Consider the following 24,785-nt stretch of genomic DNA (forward strand, 5'->3'; position numbering starts at 1 on the left):
CCTCCACCTCAGTTACTAGTAATCTTTCTGTATATTTCCCAAGACTATAAGCTCCATCCAGCAGTTAACTTCTTATTTTGTTCACAACCATATGCTCAGTCCTTAGTACTATATAAGGCACATAATAGGCATGTAGAACATATACAGAATAAACAAATAACCATGATTACAATCATCCTTATAATTTTTCCAGCCAACAATAATTTTAAAATTTGAAAACAATTCAAAATAAAATTAATGACAATTACATCCTAGGGAATACAAAAAGACATACCTCCAGTTCATTTTCCAGTTTCATTACTTTAGTTTTTAATTGATTTTCTATTTTTTTAAAAAAAAAGAAAAACGTTTTAATTGATTAGTTACCACAAAACAAACTTTTAAATAAATTTCAATAACAAAATTAATTCTTTTAAAAGAGTCCATCATGATTATAAGGTAACAAAAAGTATTATATGGCAGATCCATAAAATAGGAGTCTAGAAATATTTATTATTAAATGTTATATATTAAAAATAAACTGAATATATATATTTTATAGAATATAATTTAATTTTCTACAGTTTAATGAACAAATGGAATTCATTATTTAATACCATAATAAACTTTTTCCAAGGTGCTTACCAAATTTTGCTTGTTCTTCTCCAGCTTTTTCTACTTCTTCCAAAGCCAGCTCCACTTCTTGAGCTTTCATCTAAACATTAAAAAAAGGTTATTTCAATATGCCTTTATACTGGAATGTAAGCACTGAAAATAAAAATTCTGTTTTATTTGTTATGATCCTTAGTGCCAGCAATGGCTGGCACATGGAGACGTTCAGTAAATATTTGCTGAATAAATAGTTTTTGGTTTTTGTTTTTGTTTTTTTTGCTTTTGAGATAGGGCCTCACTTTGTCACCCAGGCTGGAGTGCAGTGGCACAATCTCAGCTCACTGCAACCTCCTGCCTCCTGGGCTCAAGCAATCTTCCCATCTCAGTCTCCTGAGTAGCTGGGACTACAGGTGCATGCCATCATGCTTGGCGTGCCATCATGCTTGGTGTGCCATCATGCTCGGCAAATTTTTTCGTACAGGCAAGGACTCACTATATTATCCAGGCTAGTCTTGAACTCCCAGGCTCAAGCAATCCTCCTGCCTTGGCCTCCCAAAGTGCTGGGATTACAGACGTGAGCCACCATGCCAGGCAATTTTCTTACTTAAGACTACAATTTCTAGATTTTTAATAGCATGAAACATTTTTGATTCTCCTTTTTACCTCAAGTCCTCAAGTCTTATATCCAGTAATGCAACATCTCCCTTTGTAATGTCTTTCCACTACTTTTTTTCTGTTCCAATTGCTATTATTCTAATCCATAATTTCAGGTTTAAACTCCGCTATAATGTGATGTCTACAAAGCTCCAATTTCCTTCAGTTTGTCCTACATAATATACTCAGTTTTGCCTTCTTAAGGTGTATTTTTGTACCTATCAATTGTGTTTCGAAAACCTTTACTGCCTTCTCAATTGCTGATAGCATAAAATACACCTTTAAGGCCCTCAACAACCTATCTCAAAGTACTTACCCAAGATTTGTTTTCTCTACAGTCTGCTACAAACTTGCTGCACCTTGTTTCCTCAAATATAAAGAATAAACATATTTCCTGTTCTCAGTATTTATTTATGGTAACCAACAGCTCTAGAATTCCCTTACTATCTTACCACTGCATTGCCTTCCACTTATCTAACACTACTCCTCAGTATTGATCCTTTGTGAAGTCTTCTGACATCTCTTAAATCATTTCCCCTCTTAACAAATCCCTATAGCAGTCATTGTCTGCATTTGTCATTTGGACCTCAAGATATATTTCCTTATGTTACTTTTCAACATACTCATTCTATTTCCCCTACACACCCTTTTAGAAACTTTAAGTAGAAACTAGCAATGTTTTATACACTAAAATACTTAATTCACATTTAAATATATTGCATTTTTTAGTGGTGATGTAGATATTACCAGGTATTTTCACAAAGATTACCTTATATAAGAACAGATTTTTATAGTTCCACTAATAGCCAAACCTATAGTTAAAACCTACTACATACAAACCTTCATTAGTGACTGAGTAATTCTGAAAAGGTGTATCACATTTTCTTGCTTTTCACTTTTTAGCTCATTTACTTCCACCTAAGTAAACAGAAAAGCAACTGTTTTATATTTTATAACCTTCAAGCAAAATATAAGAACACTTCCAGATTGTGACAATTATAGTTGTCCCTGAAAAAAATAAATTCATATTTTATTAATAAATTAATCATAAGTTAATGTATATATCTATTATTATTGACCAATTAAGCACCTTGGATAAGGAAATCAATAAATTATCTGCCAGTTCTTCTTGACGGGGCAGGTCATCTGGGTCAACTTTCATTATTTCTTTCCAGTTTATATTAGGTGGCATCTTGAATTCTTTCACTGTGCTCCACCTCTGTAACAAAACAGGTGTATATTAGCATTTTCAAGGTACACAGTATTATTGGTTTTCTAGCACCTTACATTTTTTGCAGATTATTTCATTATAACTTTCTGATGTTAGCAAAACAGACAATTGGGCCACAAAATAGACAAGTGGGCAAAATAGCCTTGATCAAAAATAGCAGTCGGCACAAACTGTCAGAGTGTCCCGGCTAAATAAAATGTGACGGCTTCCTTGCTAACACTAATCTAAGTTAATACTTAAGATTTCTGGATCCCTTCCTCCACACCCCTACCCACAATGCGCGCGAACACCCTAATCCTGGCAAGCGCGAGGGTCTGTGGAAGGCCGACAATCATCCCTGATTTGGAGAAACAGAATTGGGGCTGAAAAAAAACGCAGAAATTAACATTTGGAATGAGTGAAGTTGTGCGGCGGAAACTGGAACCGAAGCAAGGCAGTATTAGGGACCCGAGGCTGGAAGGGCGGGGTAGCTATGCTGTGGCACACGGGCCCTCAGGCTAAAGAACCTGAGCGTGGAGTGACTCGCTAATCCTGCTTACAAGGATCCACCCACCTAGACCAAGCCTGGCAACCAGCGGAGGCCTCTCACTACCGCAACCACCAAGCTGGACCCGGCCGCGGGCCCTGACAGATCCCTATCGCGGTTCCACGCGGACTCTGGGTCCAGCCAAATGGTCCCGAGCAAGCCAAAGCGGCAGCGGCTGCTAGGCGACACCATCCCCAACTCCGCCAAGGCCAGAATAAGATCCCGGATGCCAGGAGAGCCTACAGTTCACGACCGTGGGTGATGCTTTACGTTTAGATTCTCCGCCGGAGTCCCAGAGCTCGGTGTTCAGGATGATGAGAAGGCGTGGAACGAGGACTTCAAATCCCAGAGTGCAGTTCTGCCTGAGGCTTCTGCATGCTGGGAACTGAAGTCCCTGAGAAGAGGAGGTAAGGCGCTCCCGGCATGCAACGCGTAAGACTGCGACGGTACCGGGGCGGCGGGGAAGGACCGAGAGGCGGGAGGAGCAGCGGCTCAGGCGCCTGCAAACTGGTGGCCTGAACGAGGTAGACCATGACTGTGGTTTCAGTGGCGTCACTCGCTGGGCTGCTCTTCCTGAGGTTTTCCTAAGCCATCCCCTGGCGGAACCGCCCCCAGGTGAGGTCGAGCTGTCGGTCAGCATATTGGGAGGAATTGAGGGGAGCAGTCCTGGGTTAGAGAAGCTTCTGCTATTGGGGCCGTAGGGCCTGGTCCCATTCTGAAAAAGTGGGAACACCCTGCCTTCTCTTCAGGCGTTTGCAAGCGGCGTCCAGGGTAGTGCCTTCTGTAAGAAGGAAAAAACAAAAAGTTTTAGCCTTGTTTAGTATCAGAATCTGTCTTGATAGTTAGAGTGAGAGCCGCGCAGCCGTGATCCTCGTTTGGGGGCGAGCGAAGAATTGACAAGAGGTCTCGGCATCCCGACCCCGCCCGCCTTACCTGTAGCACCATTCCTTTCGCGGATCGTGGGGCTTGATGGTTGTGGAGCTAGTATAAAGTCAAGGCTCTAGAGAGGAGAGGTTAGTACTTGTCCGGACCACTGCCGGGGGTGGAGAGAGAAGGGATCCAAGGACTCACCTGTACTATTGTTGCCACTTGCTTGGTTACCTAGGGTGCCCTTCCATGAAAGCGCCTTCTCTGGTGTTTACCACTCTTACTCGTGCAAGTTTTGCTCATCCTGCTCGTCTGCTCACAATCATGCTGGAGTATGATACATCTCTACCTAACTTTCCTAAGAAGCTGTAGACTTAAATCTAAATGACATTTCCAACTATCTGGACCAGTGCTTTGTCTTTTTTTTTTTTTAAACGCTGCTTTAAAAAAAAAATTACTGTACTTGACAGTAAATTTTCCTTTCGAAAATAAGTAATGAGTTTCTTTTTAAACCCCCAATTTGGGTAAAATAAGTAGCTCAGTACAAAATAAAAAGATACTGATTTTGTGAGATGAATTTTAAAGACATTAGTTAGATTTATAGGAATGACAATTTTACTACTTTTCTGAAAGATTATATGCCAAATACTATTCATTATCTTGTTTATTCTTCCTTACAATCCAGTGAAATAGGTGCTTACATTGTCCTCATTTTCCATCTGAGTTAAGAAACTGAGGCTTGGAGAAGCTAAGTAACTTAAATAGTGTGATTGAACACAGATCTCTCTGGCTGGAGGACATATTCTTAACTTCTATACACCTCCTCAGACATTCTGGGAAACCAATATTTGTGAAGTGCTTGTTCCTCAATCTTGCTATTTTTATTAAATGTTATATTTTAATTTTGTAAGTGTTTACTCAATAATTTGAATTAAACATTCTTCATGTTCAGTGTTCTTAATTCATAATTTAACATGGGATGGTGTTTCTGGAAAGGTGTTCTGATCTGGACCCCAGGAGAGGGCTCCTGGATCTCGCCAAGAAAGAATTGGAGGTGCATACACCCCCATTGGAGGTGGTAGACTAAGGATTGTTATAGTTATTTCTTGATTATATGCTAAACAAGGGGTGGGTTATTCATGAGTTTTCTGGGAAGAGGGTAGGCCATTCCTAGATCTGAGTGTTCCTCCCCTTTTTAGACTATATAGAGTAACTTCTTCACATTGCCATGGCATCTGTAAACTGTCATAGCACTGGTGGGAGTGTCTTTTAGGATGCTAATGCATTATAATTAGTGTATAATGAGCAGTGAGAACGAGCAGACGTCCCACCTTTCTCGCCATCTTGGATTTGGTGGGATTTGGCTGGCTTCTTTACTGCATGCTGTTTTATCAGCAAAGTCTTTATGATCAGTATCTTGTGCCCACCTCCTATCTCATCCTGTGACTTAGAATGACTGACAGACATCCTGAGAATGCAGCCCAGTAGGTCTCACCCTTATTTTACCCAGCCCCTATTCAAGATGGAGTTGTTGTGATTCAAATACCTCTGACAATGGTAGGAATGAAATTTAATAGTTACTGAGCACATGTTATGTCATACACTATGCTGACTACTGCGTGTTTGTTTTCATAATAGAAGTCTGTTTTCTCTAACACCTTTTCTTCTGTTTTTTTTTTCATTCGTTATAACTTATTTTTATGTATTCACTTACAAGTTTCGTTTGTCTGTATTACTCTTTTCTACCCTTCTGCCACCACCCTCTTGCTCACATTCATAAACTCAAGGTGCCTGGTCTCTAATGGTAAATTTTATTCTAATTTTTCAGAAGTGAGAACAAGTTCATAGAAGTTAAGTAATAATTGATGAAGCTAAGATTGTAACCTAGATCTCAGTGACAATTGTAACTAAAAGCAAAATCTTACCTAAATTTTATTCTTTAACTCATTCTAACAGTATTTTTTATCCTGTTTCCTGTGCTAGGCACTGGGGATACAGCAGTGAACAAGTCAGCTCTGGCTTGAACAAGTCAACTAAGTTTTTATGCATTGTCGTCTGTACCTAAGTGTGAGTCAGGAAATTTAACTCAGGTTCTAGTTCAATAACTCACTGTATATTTTTGAGGAAAATTGGCAAAACTATTATTTTTCGTCAGATTTTCTGCACCTGTCAGTTTTCATCAAGAAATGGGACTTATGTGACAATGTTGTAAGTGGCCTTGTTATAAGAACACTTGTCTGGACCTGCCTTCTTTCTGCCCTAGGCTTTTGTGAACAGTTTTATCTGACCAAAATCACTTCACAAGAAGGCCTCACCTTTTATTATTGCTTACCTTTGTTCTCTGTAGCAATGAATTTATATTCCTTGGATGTTACTTCTAGTTCCTTTTTGCTGACTTACCAAGAAAAGTCATAGTAGCTTACTTCTCCGATCTCTAAAACAAAGCATGGCCATTTTGTATCCATTGTGTGTCCTAAACATTTTGTTTTGCCTTATCTTCATGGCAAATTAAGCCATGGTTAATGGCTTAATTCACACTGACTCCCTACTGATCTTTCCAGTTTCCTCATGTTGAAGGAAGACAAGTATCTGCTTGCTGCACACTCATTCTTGTCCATGAAATTAAGGCAAAACAATTTGCCTTAATACAATTTACAGTTTTATTGAAGGGATTGTATTTAGTTTTGTATATCTATAATGTAGCTCATGAGAAGTCTTTGTGAACCAAAAAGTGTCTAAGACGGGTCTCAATCAATTTAGAAGTTTATTTTGCCAAGGTTAGGGACATGCCGAAAAGAAATAAACACTGAATCACAGAAACAGTCTGTAGTCTCTTCCTTTCTCTAAGATGATTTTGAGGGCTTCAGTATTTAAAGGGGAAAAATCCATTGGAAGAGAAAAAGGGTAGATATGGTAATCTATGTGTTGCAAGAGAAAAAGAGCAGAGAGGGAAATAGATATTATGTATTCACGTGGGGTGGTAAATCAGCACTTTACGTGAGATAAGATGAATGTCCTAAAGTAGCTACCTGTGGAGATATTTAACATTTGATGTGTAGCTGTCTGCTAAGAACAAAAGGAGAGCAGTTTCTTGCATGACTCAGCTTTCACCCTAATTTTTTCTTATAGACATAATGAATTGAGATCCCAAGTTTTATTTTCCTTTCACATTTCCAATTGCACTTGGATTTTGTGCACATATATAGTAACACCCCATTTTTGTAAGCAAACAGAAATCAGTCATCCCATCCACTTAAACTGCATCTGTAAGTCTGCTTCTGTGCCTAGGAAAAATTAGAAGTTCTCACAACTAACAAGAATAGTGTGTTACATGTTTGCAATAATGGCCCCCAGTGAGTCAGGTCCCCGTCTGCCTATGCCTTTGTGTAAATCTGTCCCTTCCCTGCAACCTCTACTTTGCAGGTGGCTCTTGGAAGTAACCTAAGATGACTCCACAACTGAGCTCGTAACATGCTCTCTCTCCCTTTCTCTCATACTATGCTCCCTTGGGGAATCTTAAAAATTCTGTTATCTTGGCCCTTTTATAACTTCTTCCCCATTGATTCAGGATGTACCTTGCTTGAATAATAATTTTTAAAATACGCACTAAATAGAGCCTTATAAAGAGCTTGTGCATTGAACCTTGCCCTCCTGTTGTCCTGAGATCATCATTTAAGAAGCCTAAGATAACCTATTAGAGGATGTGTTAATAAGTAGCAGAGACTAGTTTTCAAAGCTGAGAAATCTACCCTTTAAAAGCCATCCAGCCCTAATCAAGCCACTGGATAACTATAAGCACATGAGTGACCCCAGGCACAACTAACAGAAGAACCATATACATACCTATATATTTGTGTGTGTGTGTGTGTGTGTATATATATATATACATATATATGTATATATATGTAAAATAAAGATATATTGAAGAATTGAATTATTTTGAATGTATTCATTTTTAAGTACTTCAGATGCCTAACTTAACAAAGAAAACTTTCTCAGTACTTAAATAACTGATTAAATTTAGGAAATAAAACTTGAAACTATAGCAAATCCCAAGTTCTTATAAAAATTCCAATACTATTTGTGTATTTAGCTAATTATTATACTTTTCAACTATAGTTGTGAATCCAGAAACTACATAGTCAGTAGTTTAATATGTTTATTATGTTTAATATGTTTATTATACGTATTATTGTATATTTTAAAATTATAGTTATGCAGCTAATATATCAAAGTCTCCAGGATGTCAGATTCTCTTAAAGGTTGCAGTTACTCTAAAAAATCAGATGCATAATTTAATATTGTTTATTATGCATATTATTGTATATTTTTATATATTTTTAAATTATTTAATTTATTTTAAATTATTTAATTTAACAATAATTTAACAGCTAATGTATCAAGTCTCCAGGATGTTAGATTCTCTTAAACATTGCAAGTACTCTAAAAATTAGATACATAAGTTGTTCCCAAGTATAACTTTAAAGCACTGAAACCACAGGTTTAATTTACTTTTTTCTTCTATTAATTTTAAACTTTCCTGTGGTTAGAACATTTAACCAAACAACAGTTTGTCACCCCAAGTGAATTGATGTTACCAAGCCAGTGGCCTGAGGTTATTTATGGGAAGAGAGGTTTCTGACCTGTACACAAAACTTGATTTTTACCTACCCAAAGGTAGATATCCTGAGTTGTTTCATTCGGTTTTTCTAAATTACAACATGTATATATAGCTGTCCTATATTGGATCCCATTTCCTGATTTCTGTATCTTTGTTTCTTAATATACTGTTTCATTTTACTAGTGTACCTTTTCTCCTAGTTTCTTGAAAAGGAACATCAGAGGTAAATTTTTTGAGACCTTTAATGACTTAGGTTTTTATTCTACTTTCCCACCTGGAAAACTTAGGTTTATTAATATAGAATTTTAGTTTAGAAATCAATATGCCTCAGAAGTTTGAAGCATTACTCCTTTTTTATTTTGGAAGGGAATTTTTTGTTTTGTTTTGTTTCTAACAGCATTTTGGGTGAAAAAAAAAAGATTTTTGATTCCTGATCCTTACTCTGGAACCTTTTTTATTTCCAGAAGCTTTTAGAATCCTATTTGTTTTCAGTGTTGTAAAGTTTTACAGAATTTTGTGCCCAGTAGAAAAGGGATGGAGGGTCTCAACCTAAAATATATGGACAGACTTTTTTTTACTTAGCCTTTATTTTCAATATGCTGCCTTTTCCCTGTTATCAGAGACCCTATGTTTTAAATAATCCACAGAGGAAACCTCCAGTCTTCTGCCTTGGAATAGGAGAGGTTACTTGGCTTTATCCCGTAAGAGAGGGGGCTGACATAATGTCCCCGTTATCAGGGACATTATCCAGTAAGAGATGGGGCTGAGTTTCAACAATGTGACTAGCTTATGCTTCTTAGAAGTGGATGGCATTTTAGCTGCGCTTTTCTCTGGAGAATTAATATGCAATTACTTACCCACCTACTAAAATTGAACTTACTTGGAATAAATATGTTCCTTATTTTATCTTCATGATTTTTTTTCCAGTTTTTGTCCAGAAGTGCTTATAGAAAAGATGGCTAATATTAACCTAAAAGAAATAACCTTAATAGTAGGTGTGGTTACTGCCTGCTATTGGAACAGCCTCTTTTGTGGTTTTGTTTTTGATGATGTTTCAGCAATACTGGATAACAAAGACTTGCATCCATCTACACCTTTAAAAACTTTATTTCAAAATGACTTCTGGGGAACCCCTATGTCTGAGGTAAGTAATTACTTACATATTACTTGTACATGTCTCAGATTTTGAAATATTCTGGTATTTTATTACTTCTAATTCTTTATCAACATTATCATCACAACAGTTACAGATTTTTAACCCTAAAATGTTTATATGAAACGTAACATGTTTGTAATAAATTGAACAGGAAGCTGAGGATGAGTACTTTAAAGCAGTACTTGGTTATTTCTTTGCCTGTGTACCTTGGCTGCTGCTTTTTTTTTTTTAACTTTTATTTTAGATACAGGGCTACATATGCAGATTTGTCACGTGGGTATATTGCGTTATGCTGATGTTTGGGGTACCAATCTGTCACCCAGACAGCGAGTATAGTACCCAATAGGTAGTTTTGGCTTAACTTCTTAAAAATAATATATATTTATGTGAAAACCAAATGTATAGGGAGAGCAATAGGTGTAATACATGCCTGTTTCTTGCTAATTGACTTTATTTCTCTTTTTTCTGTCTTGTGAGTAAGGCAAAAGAGATGTGATATATTTCAACATTTTAAAATATGGCAACTTCAATATAAATAGATAAGAATTTAAGAGTAAAAATAGTAAGTACACATATTGCCAATTTCTCTTGCAGAAGAAGTGGTTATTACAAATTTTGAATCTTTGTCCTATCTCTTACATAATAGTTATTTAGGTTATATATCGAGAACCCAAAAGTTTAGTTCAATAATTTAATATTTTATTCATCCATATGGTTCATTTTTATGAGGGTATTTTTACTGTTTTGAAGGTCACTGTTAAACTGTTGGGATTAAACCCTTATCAGCTTGATATCATATAGAATGGATTCTAATTTTAGTTATGTCATATATTAACTGTGTGAAATAGGTGAGAATACATCTTTCAGATGGAAAGTAATTTTCCTGATCTGTAAAAGAGGATAATTCCTTTCCAAAATAAAAAAGAGAGTAATGCTTCAAATTTCTGGGGGATATTGATTTCTAAACTAAAATTCTATATTAATAAACCTAAATTTCCCAGGTGGAAAAGTAGAATAAAAACATAAGTCATTTAAGGTCTCAAGTAATAAATGAATTATTTTATCTACACTACCTGGCACATAGATATTGAATAAATTGTTGAAACATAACATGTAACTCTCTGCAATGTTAACAGTATGTTTCTCGGTCATTGTGGCCTCTTTCCCCATTCCCCAAATTTGGAAGCCTCTCAAGGTTAGGGATGGAATCTTTCATTCCTCTGATCACAAGCACATATAATTATTTTGTCTTATTTAGTAAGAAGACTTTATTCGCCTTTTTGTTCTCACCCAATTCTAGCTTTTGAAAAAAAATCTTTTGATAGTAAGGGGGAAAATATGGCCCTATTATACATTATTCTACACAGCTTGTCCTCCTCTATACCTACCTTTGATCTCCAGAGACCCTCAGAACTATGTGTCCATTCCCTCAATTTATGCTAGTATCTGTTATGATTTTAATCATAATGTTGAGGTTTTGAACTGATGGTTTAGCTGGCCATATTAAATGGTCTCATTTTCTAGATTAGGCTATTCTTGTATTGCTACGAAGAAATACCTGAGACAGGGTAATATATAAGAAAAGAGGTTTTATTGGCTCACAGTTCTGTCAGCTGTACAAGAAGCATAGCAGCATCTGCTTCTGGGGAGGCCTCAAGAAGCTTGCAGTCATGGCAGAAGGGGAAGCAGGAGCAGGCACTTCACATAGCAAAAGCAGGAGCAAGAGGAGTACGGTGGGAGGTGCTACACAGTTTTGAACAGCCAGCTCTCTCAAGAACTCATTGTAGCAAATACAGTACCAAGTGGGGTGGTGCTAAACCATTCATAGGAAATCCACCCTAATAATCCAATCATTTCCCACCAGGCCCCACTTCCAATATTGGGGATTACATTTTGATATAAGATTTGGGCAGGGACACACACATATCACATACCATGGTGTCAGTGATCTGTTCAGTGATTTTCTCAGCTTTGCAGATTGAAAATTTGATTTTGTTCAGAAAGCCCGTAAGCAGATGGACTAAGAAAAAGACTCATATGTTCTGACAGAATGGATGAACAAACTAGAATAACAGTTTATTAAGAGTGAAGAGTGTAGTTGTGTAGTTTCCTTGTATTTTCTGATGGGCATATTCTCTCCCTGAAGGCAAATGTGACACTAGGGAAAATTATTCTAGGTAATCCTTAGGTGTCATAGGTTTCATGATAAGCCTGGAATTAGCATATTCAAAGATCTAATCATTGATATCATCAAGTTATGATAGCCTAGAAGATACGTGTCCACACGTATCTTACAAGAATTTTTGTACCAATGCAGGTCTTAAAGACACATTTTGGGCTTAGGACATTCTCCTAAGCCATATAAATACTGCCGTATTAGGGGTCTTTGGACTCATGTGAACCTCTCAGTGTTTAGATTATCTCTCTAGTAGGCTTATGCTATAGATATGTGCTGCTCTATTTATTGATAATTCATTGGATCTCAACCCTGACTGCCGTATTAGAATTTGCCTGGGGCATTTAAAAGAATGAAAACATATTACCAAGGCTCTGTCCAAACCTGTTATTTCAGATAATCTCAGAGTGGGATATAGGTATCAATATTTTTGTCTTATTTTGTGTGTGTGTGTTTAGTTGTTTTGTGTGGGAGGGAGGGTGGGGCTTTTGTTTAAGTCATCCAGGTGATTCTTTGGTATAGCCGTGGCTGAGAGCGAGGGGGCTGTAATGAGCCACCTTCCTCTGGCATTTGGCCTATAAAGTACCTTGTGCTAAGGTAACTTCTGCAAATATTTTATCTCATTATGATTTTGCCATCCCTATATTGAGATTCACATTAACAGGGAACTGTTAGCTTAATCATTCATTACACTGTTGTGTATTTTTATTGCCAACTAATATCATGAGTAATTTTTTCTTTAATATGCCCGAAAGTAATAATGATCTGAATTGTTTTATTCATAATGGCCCTAGGTGTTTTCACAAAGTAAACTTAGTATCTAATAGGCTGATGATGATTTGTCACAGTGGAATCTGAAATAGATCCCTAATGAGTTATGTGAATAATTATGTTAATAATTGGTCTGTCTGTTAGTTGGTCATCACCTATAGTATATGTATGTCTAATAGTCCTAACTGAACAATTATGTATACTGCAATTCAAAATACATATTCCCTTCTACTTTCTGAGTACATCCTTTCACCTAGAATATATGTTCCATTGTAGCCACAGTGACATTTCAGGTACTCGAAGGGTTTCTAGAGTCCTTTTCTACTTTCTAGTACAAATCATGTCAGTTCAGTACAGTGCCTTAAAAATAGCTTTATATGCCTGAGATGAAATTTGAAGGATGTAAAGGAATTAGGCAAGCAGGAAAGAACATTCTAAGTAGATAGTACATTATGGAGTATATAGTCAGTACAGAGATACTAAAATGTTCCTAATTTCAAGATGAGAAAGATTTATTCTTTGTGTTTCCTAATGTTCCCTACTAAGGATGAACAGGCTTAAGTCTACTTGTGTGCCAGAAAGTTACAGCAAAATATGATAGGAAGTAGAAGAGCAAAGAAGCTGAATATGGATGCGTATATTAGTCTGTTTTGCGTTAGTATAAAGGAATACCTGGTAATTTATAAGGAAAATATGTTTATTTGGCATATGGATCTGCACACTGTACAAGCATGGCAACAGCGTCTTCTTGGCTTCTGGTGAGGCCTTGAAAGTTTTACTACCTGTAGAAGGTGAAGGGGGAGCAGGTGTATCACATGGTGAGAGGGGGAGCAAGAGGGAGGAGAGGAGGTTCCAGGCTCTTTTAAGCAACCAGCTTTCACATGAACTCATTACAGTGGGGAAGACACCAAACCATTCATAAAGGACCCAACCCCAATGACCCAAACATCTCCCACCAGGCCCAACCTTCAACATTTCAACCTCCTCATATTTCAGCATGAGATTTGGAGGGGACAAACATCCAAACTATGTCAATGCCCTTTGTATAAAACTACAAAAAATAACTTTATTAATATTTTATATATATTCGAACTGTGTGTTTTATTCTTAAATCTGGTTTGGTTTTGTGTTAGGGAAAGAAGTATTTCTGATTAAATGTAACTTATAATTTAAAAAGAGATTCAGTACTTTACATGAAATTTTATTTATTACCAAAGGAGAATACCACAAGAATGGTGTCTATTTGCATATTCTAAGAAAGTTTTTACTCTTGTATTACTCTCTGTAATTTGGGAATTCCTAGTTTAATATATTCAGATTTACACATTATGGAGATGTTTTTCATAAAACAGCTAGACAGTACCTTTTTGAGTCATCACTATTTTAATTGAACTGGTAAGCATTCTGTTCTTACATTTCCTTTTGAAGATCTAGCCAGTAGTTACATGAACTTTTGTATTGCTGATAGATATGGAGGCAGGCTTTGGAGAGAATCCTGTGCTCTAACTTGACCAATGCCGGCATTGTCTTTTTTTAAAATTGTTATATTGAAGAGGAATTAATTGTCAAATGTCCTTTTACTGTTAGTTCTCTGACCACTGTATATCCAGGAGGAAATTAACCTTGTTTGTGGCCTAAGGAAATAGAAAAACACAGATTATAAAACTGTATTTTATTTTTGTGTTACTCTTACGACATTTCATATTTTATTGTTATTTCTCAGTAAAATGTAGATATTAATATCTTTAATGGTAAATGCAGTGATGAGCTTTTGTACCCTGTTGGACCAAGGTACTTTAATAATCACTGATCGTTTTTTCCTTGTAGGAGAGAAGCCACAAGTCTTACCGTCCCTTAACAGTATTGACATTTCGCTTAAATTATTTGTTAAGTGAACTAAAACCAATGTCATATCATCTCCTGAATATGATTTTTCATGCTGTGGTTAGTGTGATATTTCTCAAAGTATGCAAACTTTTTCTGGACAACAAGAGTAGTGTGATTGCTTCTTTACTTTTTGCAGTGCACCCAATACACACAGAAGCAGTAAGTAAAACTATGAACTGACTTTTTTTCTTTTTCCTTTTTTACAAATCCTGCACAGTGATTATAATGGTATATATTTTTAAGAAAAAAAAAAATTAACCCTGACTTTAATCCAAATATTTGAAGACTCTTAAATTCGTACAGTTAATTCTTAACTTCCTAGTATGCAAAGTATAACTTCCTACTGTGTAAAATTTTTAAATTTAACATTTTTGAAACATAAACATTTTTCATTCAATAATATAAAATCTGTTTAGAAATATATACATGAATACAGTTCTTCGGTCACTTTTTTTAATGAACAAGATTTCTAAGGACTATTTAAAGTTTATTGTCTTTTTAAACTTTATTTTTCAGATTTATTATGAGATGTAACTTTTTGAATTTATGGTGCCTTTGTATATTAAGAACATTCGTATTTTAAGAAAATATGTAAGAAGTACTTAAGTTCTAGATATTCTACCATATTTACGTGGTTACCATTGGAGAAAGCTGGATAAAGAGTACGCAAGATCTCTCTTTACTAGTTTTGAAACTTCCTATAAGTCTTATTATTATTTCAAAATAAATTTAAAAAAGTATAAACTGTTAAGAGTCACTAATAAATGTCTATTTATGTAAGATTCACAAATTCACCACCTGAGGGCACCCAAAGAATGTTTAAGAAACAAATGTGCACTTGAAAAGTTACGGAAATTAAAGTATTTTTACCATTATATATAGTAATTTTTCAAGATATTCTTTATTAATATGAACCCCCTTCATTTTTCCTTTCTAGGTAACAGGAGTTGTTGGAAGAGCAGAACTTTTGTCATCTATCTTTTTTCTAGCAGCTTTTTTGTCATATACCAGATCAAAAGGACCAGACAATTCCATAAGTACATGTCTCACATTTGATTTTTTTTTAATAGTGCTAAAACTTGATTAAGGAATTTTTATTTACTCCAAGTGCTTCTTATAACACATTATATACCACATTTGGGATTTATCTTTATGTATTGTTTTACTTTAGCATATGTGAAAATATGAAATATGTAACATTGCTAGTATTTAGGAAGTTTGTGTATAATTTATATTTTTATCTTGAGCTAATAGATTTTATATGATCTAATTTTAAAAACCAAATAACCTTAGAATAGAAGAGTTTTAGAGTTAGTCCTAGTTCCATCTTCTGTTATCTATTAATGATATAGATTCCAGTATTTCAGTTGTCTTTGGATAAATAACACCTGGTAGACTGTCATATTGTTTAGGTAAGGTTAAAAGCCTCCTAGAATATAACTTTTATTGTGTGTTGATCATAGCTATTTATTGAGCTCCTACCTTGTGACCTACCCTGGAAAGTGCTTCGAATACATTAGCTCATTACTCTTAATGATTCCTGGCATTATCAGAAAACAAGTTCTAGGCAATAAAAATGATTTTTTTCAAGTGTGGGCACAGTGGGCACAAACCTTTAAGTTCTTGGGGAAGGGGCAGATTTTCTCACTGTAGTTCCAAGGTACTCATGACAAGAAGACTAGTTTTATGTGTGGAAACTGAGGTTCAAGAAACACATGATTTAGCCAAACATCTTAAGAGTGTTCTGGATTTGTAATAGTAGGTTTGCCTTTGCTGCTCTGCATAATGCCTTCTTAAAACAATTTGAGTGGCAGCATAGCATAGTACTTAAAAGCATGGACTAAAGAGTCTGGTTTCAAATTCTAGCTCCACTGTTTATTTACTAGTTCCATTCACCGTAACACATCAGGCAAATTAACCTCTCTGTGCTTAACATTTCTTTATCTGTTAAATGTGCATAATAATAGTCCCCTACCTGTGCAGTGCATCATGTAGTAGGAGGTACTTTTGTAACTAATATGGAATTGCAGACCAGTATCCTCTTTAAGTACCATCCTCACCAAAGCCTGAATGGTAAAGTTAGAAAATACTGTGGCCTACAGGATTATAATCAGGCTCTCAATTACCTGTCTAATCATATCTTCTGCCATTCTTGCCCTAGCTGTCTTCACTATAGCTAGATAGACCTTCTTGCTGTTCCCAAACAGGCAGAGCACCCACCTTTATACCTGCATTTCCCATTATTGAATTTTCTTCCCTTAGATCTTTATGTAGTAGTCTCATTTATACACTATTCTATATTATCAGGCCTCAGCTTAAGTATTTCTGTCTTAGAAAAGCCTTCCCTGTTCTAACTGAAATAGCTTTTCACCATATTATATCTTTTGTTCCAAATACTTGTACTTGGTGCTTTTTAATGATTTCTTATTCTTTACAATTCTAATATCTTGCTGTATTTCCTTAAGAATTACTTATTTGGGCTGGGTGCAGTGGTTCACGTCTGTAATCCCAGCACTTTGGGAGGCTGAGGTGGGCGGATCACATTGTCAGGAGTTTGAGACCAGCCTGGGCCATTGTGGTGAAATCCTGTCTCTACTAACAATACAAAAATTAGCCAGGCGTAGTGGCAGGCACCTGCAGTCCCACCTACCCGGAAGAATGAGGCAGGAGAATCGCTTGAACCTGGGAGGCGGAGGTAGCAGTGAGTCGAGATCACGCCACCGCACTCCAGCCTGGGAGACAGAATCCATCTCAAAACAAAAAAAAAGAATTATTTGAAATTCTTGGTCTGTCTCTTTAAGTAATTCTGATTTAGTAGTATATGTTATTATGTTTGTTCTCTCTGTTTTATGATTGTTGTATCCTTCAGATATTGAGTTGTTTTGGCTTGTGAGCTCAAGCACATGTTCTTCTAAAGTTATAAACTACTGTGCCTGTTAAAGGGAAAGGCCAGGGCCACTCTTTGTTCATCCTGTGAGTCTGAAGGGATGAAAGGAATTATAAACCAGGATATAAAGTTCCAGGTTCCGCAGAGCTGCTGTGGATCACTGTTGTTCCTACCAGTGCTACTAGGCACACTCTCTGTTTTCTTTAAGAGAATCAGCATTAAGAGGCCAGTCCACCATCCCTCTGCATTTAAATGGTAGCTCTGTAGAAGTTACTGCCTAGGAGTGATTGGTTGGTTTGTACCTTTTAAAAAATATCTACCTCTTACCCCATCAAGACTTCTGAAGTGCTCTGCTTTTACCTCTGGAACACCCACTAGCCATTGTAGCTGTGGATTTCTGCAGTAACAGAGTAGAGAGTGATCTACCCAAAGCAGTCAGGAGAGGATAAAACAAAAGTTAAAAAAAAAAATTCCCACTCTTGTCTTCTGCCTTAAATGTAATCCCTCATAACACTCACAGAACCACACATGCTTAAAATAACCTCGAAATGCTAAGGTTTTGTGTGTGTGTGTGTTTTTTTTTTTTTTTTTACAAAAAGTGTCTTAGAAACTATTTTTCCCTCTTACTTACCTTTTTCTAGGGTTGATTTTTGGGGAAAGGACCAACAGGTCAAGCTAGTTCACCATTTGAGCGAAACAAAAACAGAGTAATGTTGTTTTCTATACCTTTAACTTGCATTTCTGAAAATACTCATTTCTAACCTGAAAATACATAGTTTACATTTTTCTTTTGTTTATTGCTTTCTCACAATAGAACGTGACCTTCCTTAGGGTAGGTAACTTTTTCTCCATTTTTTGATCTTCATTTCCTAAAATGATTCCTAGTTTACAGTAGGTGTTTAGTATGAGTATATTGAAGAAATAAGTAAGTGAATGAATGTAATGTATTTTAAATTCTAATTGAAAAAATACTGAAATCTACCTTGGACCTCTCTTTATCCTCTTAACCACTGTGATACTTTGTACTCTTAGTAATTTTACCCTTGAAGCCACAGTTTCCACATCATCTTTGTATTCCCTATTGTATCTAGTATACACTGGCCTGTGCAAAGGTTTTCAAGTTGTAATTCTTTATATTCATTTTAACTTCTATATTCATGTCCCATACCCCTTTTGTAAATATGGTGATCCAATTTCAGGGCTTTACACTTGATTTTTTATTACTTTGGGTTTCTGCTTAAATATCCACTTAAATGTCATCAATATCACTACTCATCTTTCCCAGTGGTACTATTTTTATTTCCCTTCATCCTCTTTTTTTCTCTATAACACTTAAACGTTGTCACCATTTGACAGAGTATATTATTACTTGTCTCTCTTCCCTATACCCTTGAAATGTAGTAGATACTTAAAATAACTGTTTGAATAAGTGATTGCTGAAGATGTGTTTCTTTTACACATGTAGAGTCAGTTTAGAAGCCTGTATTTTGAAATGGGAATAGATTTAAGTGTCCTTAACTTATTTACCAGGTGTACTTGTTTTGGACAAAATCACATGTAACTTTTAACCACAGTGATCTGATTGTAAAATCAAAGTGTTTATATAGTAATATAGTCACTAGAGGCTGAAGAACTGAAGTGATTGGTTTCAGTAAGACATTTGCATTTATTACTCTTAGTTGAGATGGAATTCAAGTTTGTAAAAGGTAACCATTTGCTTGTTCTTCCTTGAAGTAGAAATACAAATTACTGAGAAGCTCTGACTTTAAAATCAGAAGAACCATGTTAAAGTCTTGGTCTCCTTATTCTTTGTTACTTTTTAAAAAATACCTCTACAATTCTTTCCTCATCTTAAAAATGGGTATGATTACATCCATGTTCTTACTCCATAGAGTGATTTTAAGATTCAGTGAAATAATATATGCCAAACTGGCTATATAAACTGTTTAAAATATCTGCTTTCAATGCTATTATTTCCTATGAGTTTTTATGTAGACATACACATCCATTCATACTATTCTCTATATCCTTCATTTGCTTAGCTTACTCTCACCCCTATTTATTTCTACATCCACCTTTCCCAATTTTTCCATGGCTTCTATATCCTTCAAGGGCCAACATTAGGTCCAGCCTGTTTTGTAAATAACCATCTTCTGATTTCTTCCTCTATGAAGTTCTTGTTGAATTTAGCATTGTAGTGTAATATAATCTATTATATTAGTATTGATGTTTTGGCCTAATGAGATTATAAGATTTTTTTTTTTAAGGAAAGAGTATTATTATACTTAGTATCTGCAATAGTTTCATGGGTTTGGTTTTTTTCATTTATTTCTTTGTTTTCGGTTATTTTTTCCTTCAGTAATTTTAGTCTACAGAGTACTTTGAAAACAATTTCAAAAATATGTATTTCTATATTAAGCCCAGTGACAGAAGAAAATGTATTCATGAATTCTGTTCTTGTTTATATTTAGATTTAAGTCAATTATTTGAATTTTTGCTTTAGTTAATAGTCTTAATAAAAACCGAGGTCACGGCCGGGCACAGTGGCTCACGCCTGTAATCCCAGCACTTTGGGAGGCCGAGGTGGGCGGATCAGCTGAGGTCGGGAGTTCAAGACCAGCCTGACCAACATGGAGAAATCCCGTCTCTACTAAAAAATACAAAATTAGCCAGGCATGGTGGTGCATGCCTGTAATCCCAGCTACTCGGGAGGCTGAGGCAGGAGAATCACTCAAAGCTGGGAGGCAGAGGTTGCAGTGAACTGAGACCGTGCCATTGCACTGTAGCCTGGGCAACAAGAGCGAAACTCTGTCTCAAAAAAAAAAAAAGGAAAAAAAAAAAAAAGAAAACCAAACTGAGATCACACAGTCATACTACCAGATCTTTTTTTAAACTAGAAAAGAATTAGAGATTATAGTTTTTCATAAGAAAACTGAAGCCTGGAAAAGCTGCCCAAACTCACAAGTTCACAATGAACTTTCACAGTTCATTACTCTTTAGTCAAATTACTACTACATGGTAGACACTTACTTAAAGTTGATGAAGTATGTTTTTCATTTAAATAGAACTTATAGTCTATTGCAAATTTTTTGAAGAATAGTATTTATTTAAGTGCCTATTGTTAACCACTTTCATTTTAGTTTTTATAAAAATGGGCTAGACACAATGGCTCGTGCCTGGAATCCCAGCATGGTGGGAGGATGGCTTGAGGCCAAGAGTTTGAGACCAGCCTGAGCAGCATAGCAACACCCTGTCTCTACAGAAATAAAAAAAAAAATAGCCAGATGTGGTGGCACATGCCTGTAGTCCTATTTGGGAGGCTGAGGCAGATGGATTGCCTGAACTTCAGAATTCAAGGCAGTAGTGAGCTATGTTCACACCACTGTACTTACTCCAGCCTGAGTGACAGGGCCAGACCCTGTCTTAAAAAAAAAAAAAAAGTATAGTACCCTACTTTTCCCAATACTTTTAAATTTTAAGTTTTTAATAATTTATCAGTTTAATAAGGTATAAAGATATCTGTCATAATTTCAGGAATTTGTCTTCATTTCAGAATGATAGCTCATTAATTATGACACACAAACCTGTAAATTTCTCTTCTCCAAATTCACCACCCTACCTTTGTTTTAAAAGTTAGTATTTGATGAAATAATTTTTCTCTTTGTAAAAAATTTCAGTTCAAATTATACATGTTGATATTTTGCTTTGAATGTATAAAGTAAAAATTATTAAATTTAAGTATATTTTAAAGTATGTACTACTAATTAATGAGAAATAGCACTCATATGGATATGGAATCACAAAGTTTAAAATATCTTTTTTTGATATTATAAAATTGTTTTCTGAATTTTTATATTTTCTGTTCTCAAATTGCAGTATGGACTCCAATTGCCTTGACAGTGTTTTTAGTGGCTGTTGCAACATTATGTAAAGAACAAGGAATAACAGTTGTAGGAATTTGCTGTGTGTATGAAGTGTTTATTGCCCAGGGGGTAAGCCAAACTATAAATATATAAATTTTCTTATTGATATATTTTATCCTAGTTGAATCAAATTTTATTTATTTTTATTTTCTAAATGTATCATTATGTAAATTAATGTGTTTACCAATAATAATACCAGAAATCATGTTTTATCCTCATACCTACTGAAAATTACTTAACATTTTATGATACTTTAAGTGTTTTAAGAACTGTGTTTTAAATTTCAATAATGGAATCATTAGGCAGCTTGGAAAAGTATGCAATAGTACTGTACAGTATAATTCATTATTAGGTAAGACTGTTGAGCTCAGTTTTATTCATTATTAGCTTCACACATTCTTCCACATTAATTTTATAATTATACTTGTATCTAATCTTGCAATTAGAAAGTACTACAGTATTGAAAACATTGAGATATGTCGTTATTTGTTGCTTAAAACATTTCTTTTCTTTTTCAGTATACTTTGCCATTACTATGTACTACTGCTGGACAGTTTCTCCGTGGAAAGGGTAGCATTCCATTTTCTATGCTGCAGACACTAGTAAAACTCATTGTCTTGATGTTCAGTACATTATTACTTGTTGTGATTAGAGTCCAGGTTATTCAATCCCAACTTCCAGTATTCACCAGGTATGAAATTCTGGTTCTTTGTTTTCTCCATTCTTTTTTTTAACTTTGGATTTTAATGATCATAAATGTTGAAGAAAGTATTTTATTTTGTTTTTTAACAGTTTTATTAAGCTATAATTAACATTTTTTAAACTGCATATATTTAAAATTTATGTACTGATAATTTTTGACATATGTATACACCCTTAAAGCCCCCACAATAAAGATAATGAATGACCCATCCCAAACTGGTTAAGTGTTAAGGTTAGTGTTAATTTAGTCTCCTATATCCTTAGTGATTTTTGTCTACTCATTCTGTCAGTTACTGAGAGATGTTGAAATCTCTGACTATACTTGTAGATTTCGCTATTTCTCCTTGCACTTCTGTCGGTTTTTGTTTTGTGCGTTTTTGAAGCTCTGCTATTAGGTGCGTAAACAACTAGGATTGTCAAGTCATCTTGAGGAACTGATCCCTTTGTCATTATTAAATGAGCTTCATCCCTAGTAATAGTCTTTACTCAGAAATTCACTTTTTCTTATCACAGCTGTCTTTCGTTAGTGTTAGGTGGTGTATCTTTTTCCATCTTTTTACTTTTTACCTGTCTATGCTTTTATTTATAAAGAGGATTTCTTGTAGCATCCATACAATTTGGTCTTCTTTTGTTGTTTGGTCAGATAATCTGACTTTTAGATGGGATATATCATTGATTTATATTTAATTTGATAATTGATATAGTTTGATGGAAATCTTTCATCTTGATAAAATTGTTTTCTCTTTGTCTCATCTAATCTTTGTTCCTTTTTTCTCTCTTTCCACCTTCCTTTGGATTCTTTTTTTAATATTTCATTTTATCTCCTTGTTGGCTTATTAGCTATAAATCTTTGTTGTTTTAGTGTTGCTTTAGGGATTTTAGAACATCCTCTGCTTATCACAGTTTACCTTCAAGGAATATTCTAATTTCGAATATATATATAAAATAAAAATATCAGTGTATATATAGTATAAATATATGTAATATACATTTTATATATGTAAGAACTTAACTTTTGTGCAGTTTGCATATGTTTTCCTTGAACATACATTGCTTTAAACAATTGTCTTGGAGGAATTTAAATAATAAAAAAGTATTTTACATTAACCATGAGTCACCATTTCCAGTGTTCTTTATTCCTTTGTTGGATAAGATTTTTATCTGGTACTATTTTTCCTTTTACCTGAAGGAATTTCTTTAGCACTTCTGATTAAAAATATCAGGTTTTGAAAGATACCTTCTCTGGGTGGAGAATTCTACACTGGCTTTTTCATTCAGTATTCTGAAAATGTAAATCTACTGTCTTCCGGCTTTTATTGTTTTCAGTGGGAAAACCTCTATCATCCTTATCTCTTTATGCTAATGTATGTTATGTGTATTTTTTCTATGCCTGTTTTTAATATTTCCTGTTTACCATTGTTTCTTATGTATTTATGTTTCTTGTGCTTAGGTAAACTGAGCTTCTTGAAATCTGTAGATTTTAATTTTGTAAAAATTTTGGAAAATGTTTAGCTAGTCTTCAAATATTTTTGCCATCTTTTCTTTTTCCTATTTTTCTTGTATGTCAGTTAAGTATATTTAAGTTTCTTGAAGTTGTTGCACTGATGCTCTGTTTTTTTCCCTCAATCTTTTACCATTTTTAGTTTGGATAGTTTCTTTTGCTATATCAAGTTCACTAATCTTTTTTCTGCAATATCTAATCTACTCTTAATTTCATCTAGTTGTTTCTTACCTCTGAATCTGTTTTCATCTTCAGAAGGAAGTCTGATTTGAGTATTCTTTTATATCTTCTATATCTCTACATGTTCTATTGCTTTAATGTCCTTGCCTACTAATTCTATCATCTGTGTCATTCCTTGGTCAGTTTTTATTGAATAAATTTTCTCTTCATTATAGGTTGTATTTCTCTGCTTCTTTGCATGTCGGGAAATTGTTGAACAGATACCATTTGTGAATTTTACCTTAATGTATTCTATAAATTTTGAGTTTTATTCTGGAATGCATTTAAGTTACTTGGAAAATGTTTTATCTTTCAGTCTTGCTTTTTTTCTTTCTTCTTTTTTTTTTTGAGATTAGAGTTTCGCTTTTGTTGCCCAGGGCTGGAGTGCAATGGCGCAATCTCGGCTCACCGCAACCTCCACCTCCCAGGTTTAAACGATTCTCCTGCCTCAGCCTACTGAGTAGCTGAGACTACAGGCATGCGCCACCACGCCCAGCTGATTTTTGTATTTTTAGTAGAGATAGGGTTTCTCCATATTGGTCAGGCTGATCTTGAACTCCTGACCTGAGGTGATCCGCCCACCTCAGCCTCCCAAAGTGCTGAGATTACAGGCATGAGCCACTGCACCCAGCCCAGTCTTGCTTTTAAGCTTTGTTTTGTGGGACCACAATAGCATTTAGGATAAGACTAATTTCACTTCACTACTGATGCAAGATCTTTTTGACTATTGGATGTGAACTGTAAATTACGAAGATTTCCACACTGTCTGCCGAGGAACTATTCCTGGCTCGGTATATTTGGGAATTTTTAGCTCTAATGCATTCAGGAGGTTTTTGCCTGATTGTATTAGTTTTCTGAAGGCTGCTGTAACAAATAACTACAAACTGAATAGCTTAAAATAACAGAAATTTGTTCCCTCACAGTTCAAGAGGCCAGAAATACCAAATCAGTATGTCAGCACAATTGGTTCCTTCTGGAGGCTCTAAGGAAGAATTTGTTCCATAACTGTCTGCTGGTTTCTGGTGGTTGCTAGCAGTCTTTGGCATTCCTTGGCTTGTAACTCCATCACTTCA

General features: G+C 35.2%; 2 protein-coding genes across 27 annotated transcripts in view, besides 3 other annotated features; one reads left to right on the forward strand and one right to left on the reverse strand.

Annotated features, from left to right (window-relative positions):
* CEP290 (centrosomal protein 290) overlaps positions 1-3,218 on the reverse strand; it is a 93,073-nt gene extending 89,855 nt beyond the window's left edge. For 18 of the 21 annotated variants that reach the window (XM_017019983.3, XM_047429563.1, NM_025114.4 and 15 more), the window contains exons 1-5: positions 3,030-3,218; positions 2,336-2,464; positions 2,086-2,163; positions 625-694; positions 275-321 (exon numbers count right to left, since the gene is read on the reverse strand). In XM_017019983.3, the coding sequence (XP_016875472.1) occupies positions 275-321; positions 625-694; positions 2,086-2,163; positions 2,336-2,437 (297 nt within the window). In that variant the 5' untranslated portion in view covers positions 2,438-2,464; positions 3,030-3,218. Of the gene's footprint in view, positions 1-274; positions 322-624; positions 695-2,085; positions 2,164-2,335; positions 2,465-2,862; positions 3,005-3,029 lie in introns of those variants that run through there. The other 3 variants (XM_047429560.1, XM_011538757.4, XM_047429562.1) reach the window with 3 other exon arrangements.
* Positions 3,058-3,497: an enhancer, noted in NCBI's record as "active region_6700". NCBI's record gives its function as "activates an Ori minimal core promoter by ATAC-STARR-seq in GM12878 lymphoblastoid cells {active_cell/tissue: GM12878}" and the evidence as "EXISTENCE:reporter gene assay evidence [ECO:0000049][PMID:35858748]".
* Positions 3,058-3,807: a biological region, named in NCBI's record as "H3K27ac hESC enhancer GRCh37_chr12:88535951-88536454".
* Positions 3,304-3,807: an enhancer, noted in NCBI's record as "H3K27ac hESC enhancer chr12:88535951-88536454 (GRCh37/hg19 assembly coordinates)". NCBI's record gives its function as "activates a minimal SCP1, AML or CMV promoter by ChIP-STARR-seq in naive H9 embryonic stem cells {active_cell/tissue: H9 hESC(naive)}" and the evidence as "EXISTENCE:reporter gene assay evidence [ECO:0000049][PMID:30033119]".
* Positions 3,437-24,785, forward strand: part of TMTC3 (transmembrane O-mannosyltransferase targeting cadherins 3) — a 57,581-nt gene continuing 36,232 nt past the window's right edge. For 2 of the 6 annotated variants that reach the window (NR_159381.1, NM_181783.4), the window contains exons 1-6: positions 3,437-3,617; positions 9,418-9,634; positions 14,421-14,639; positions 15,418-15,517; positions 21,244-21,359; positions 21,809-21,981. Coding sequence is in view for 5 of the 6 variants with exons in the window: in NM_181783.4 (NP_861448.2) it covers positions 9,446-9,634; positions 14,421-14,639; positions 15,418-15,517; positions 21,244-21,359; positions 21,809-21,981 (797 nt within the window). In the remaining variant the exon portion in view is untranslated. The remainder of the gene's footprint in view (positions 3,618-9,417; positions 9,635-14,420; positions 14,640-15,417; positions 15,518-21,243; positions 21,360-21,808; positions 21,982-24,785) is intronic. The other 4 variants (NM_001366574.1, NM_001366579.1, NM_001366580.1 and 1 more) reach the window with 4 other exon arrangements.

This window comes from Homo sapiens, chromosome 12, assembly GCF_000001405.40.
Source record: "Homo sapiens chromosome 12, GRCh38.p14 Primary Assembly".
Classification (NCBI taxonomy): Eukaryota; Metazoa; Chordata; class Mammalia; order Primates; family Hominidae; genus Homo; species Homo sapiens.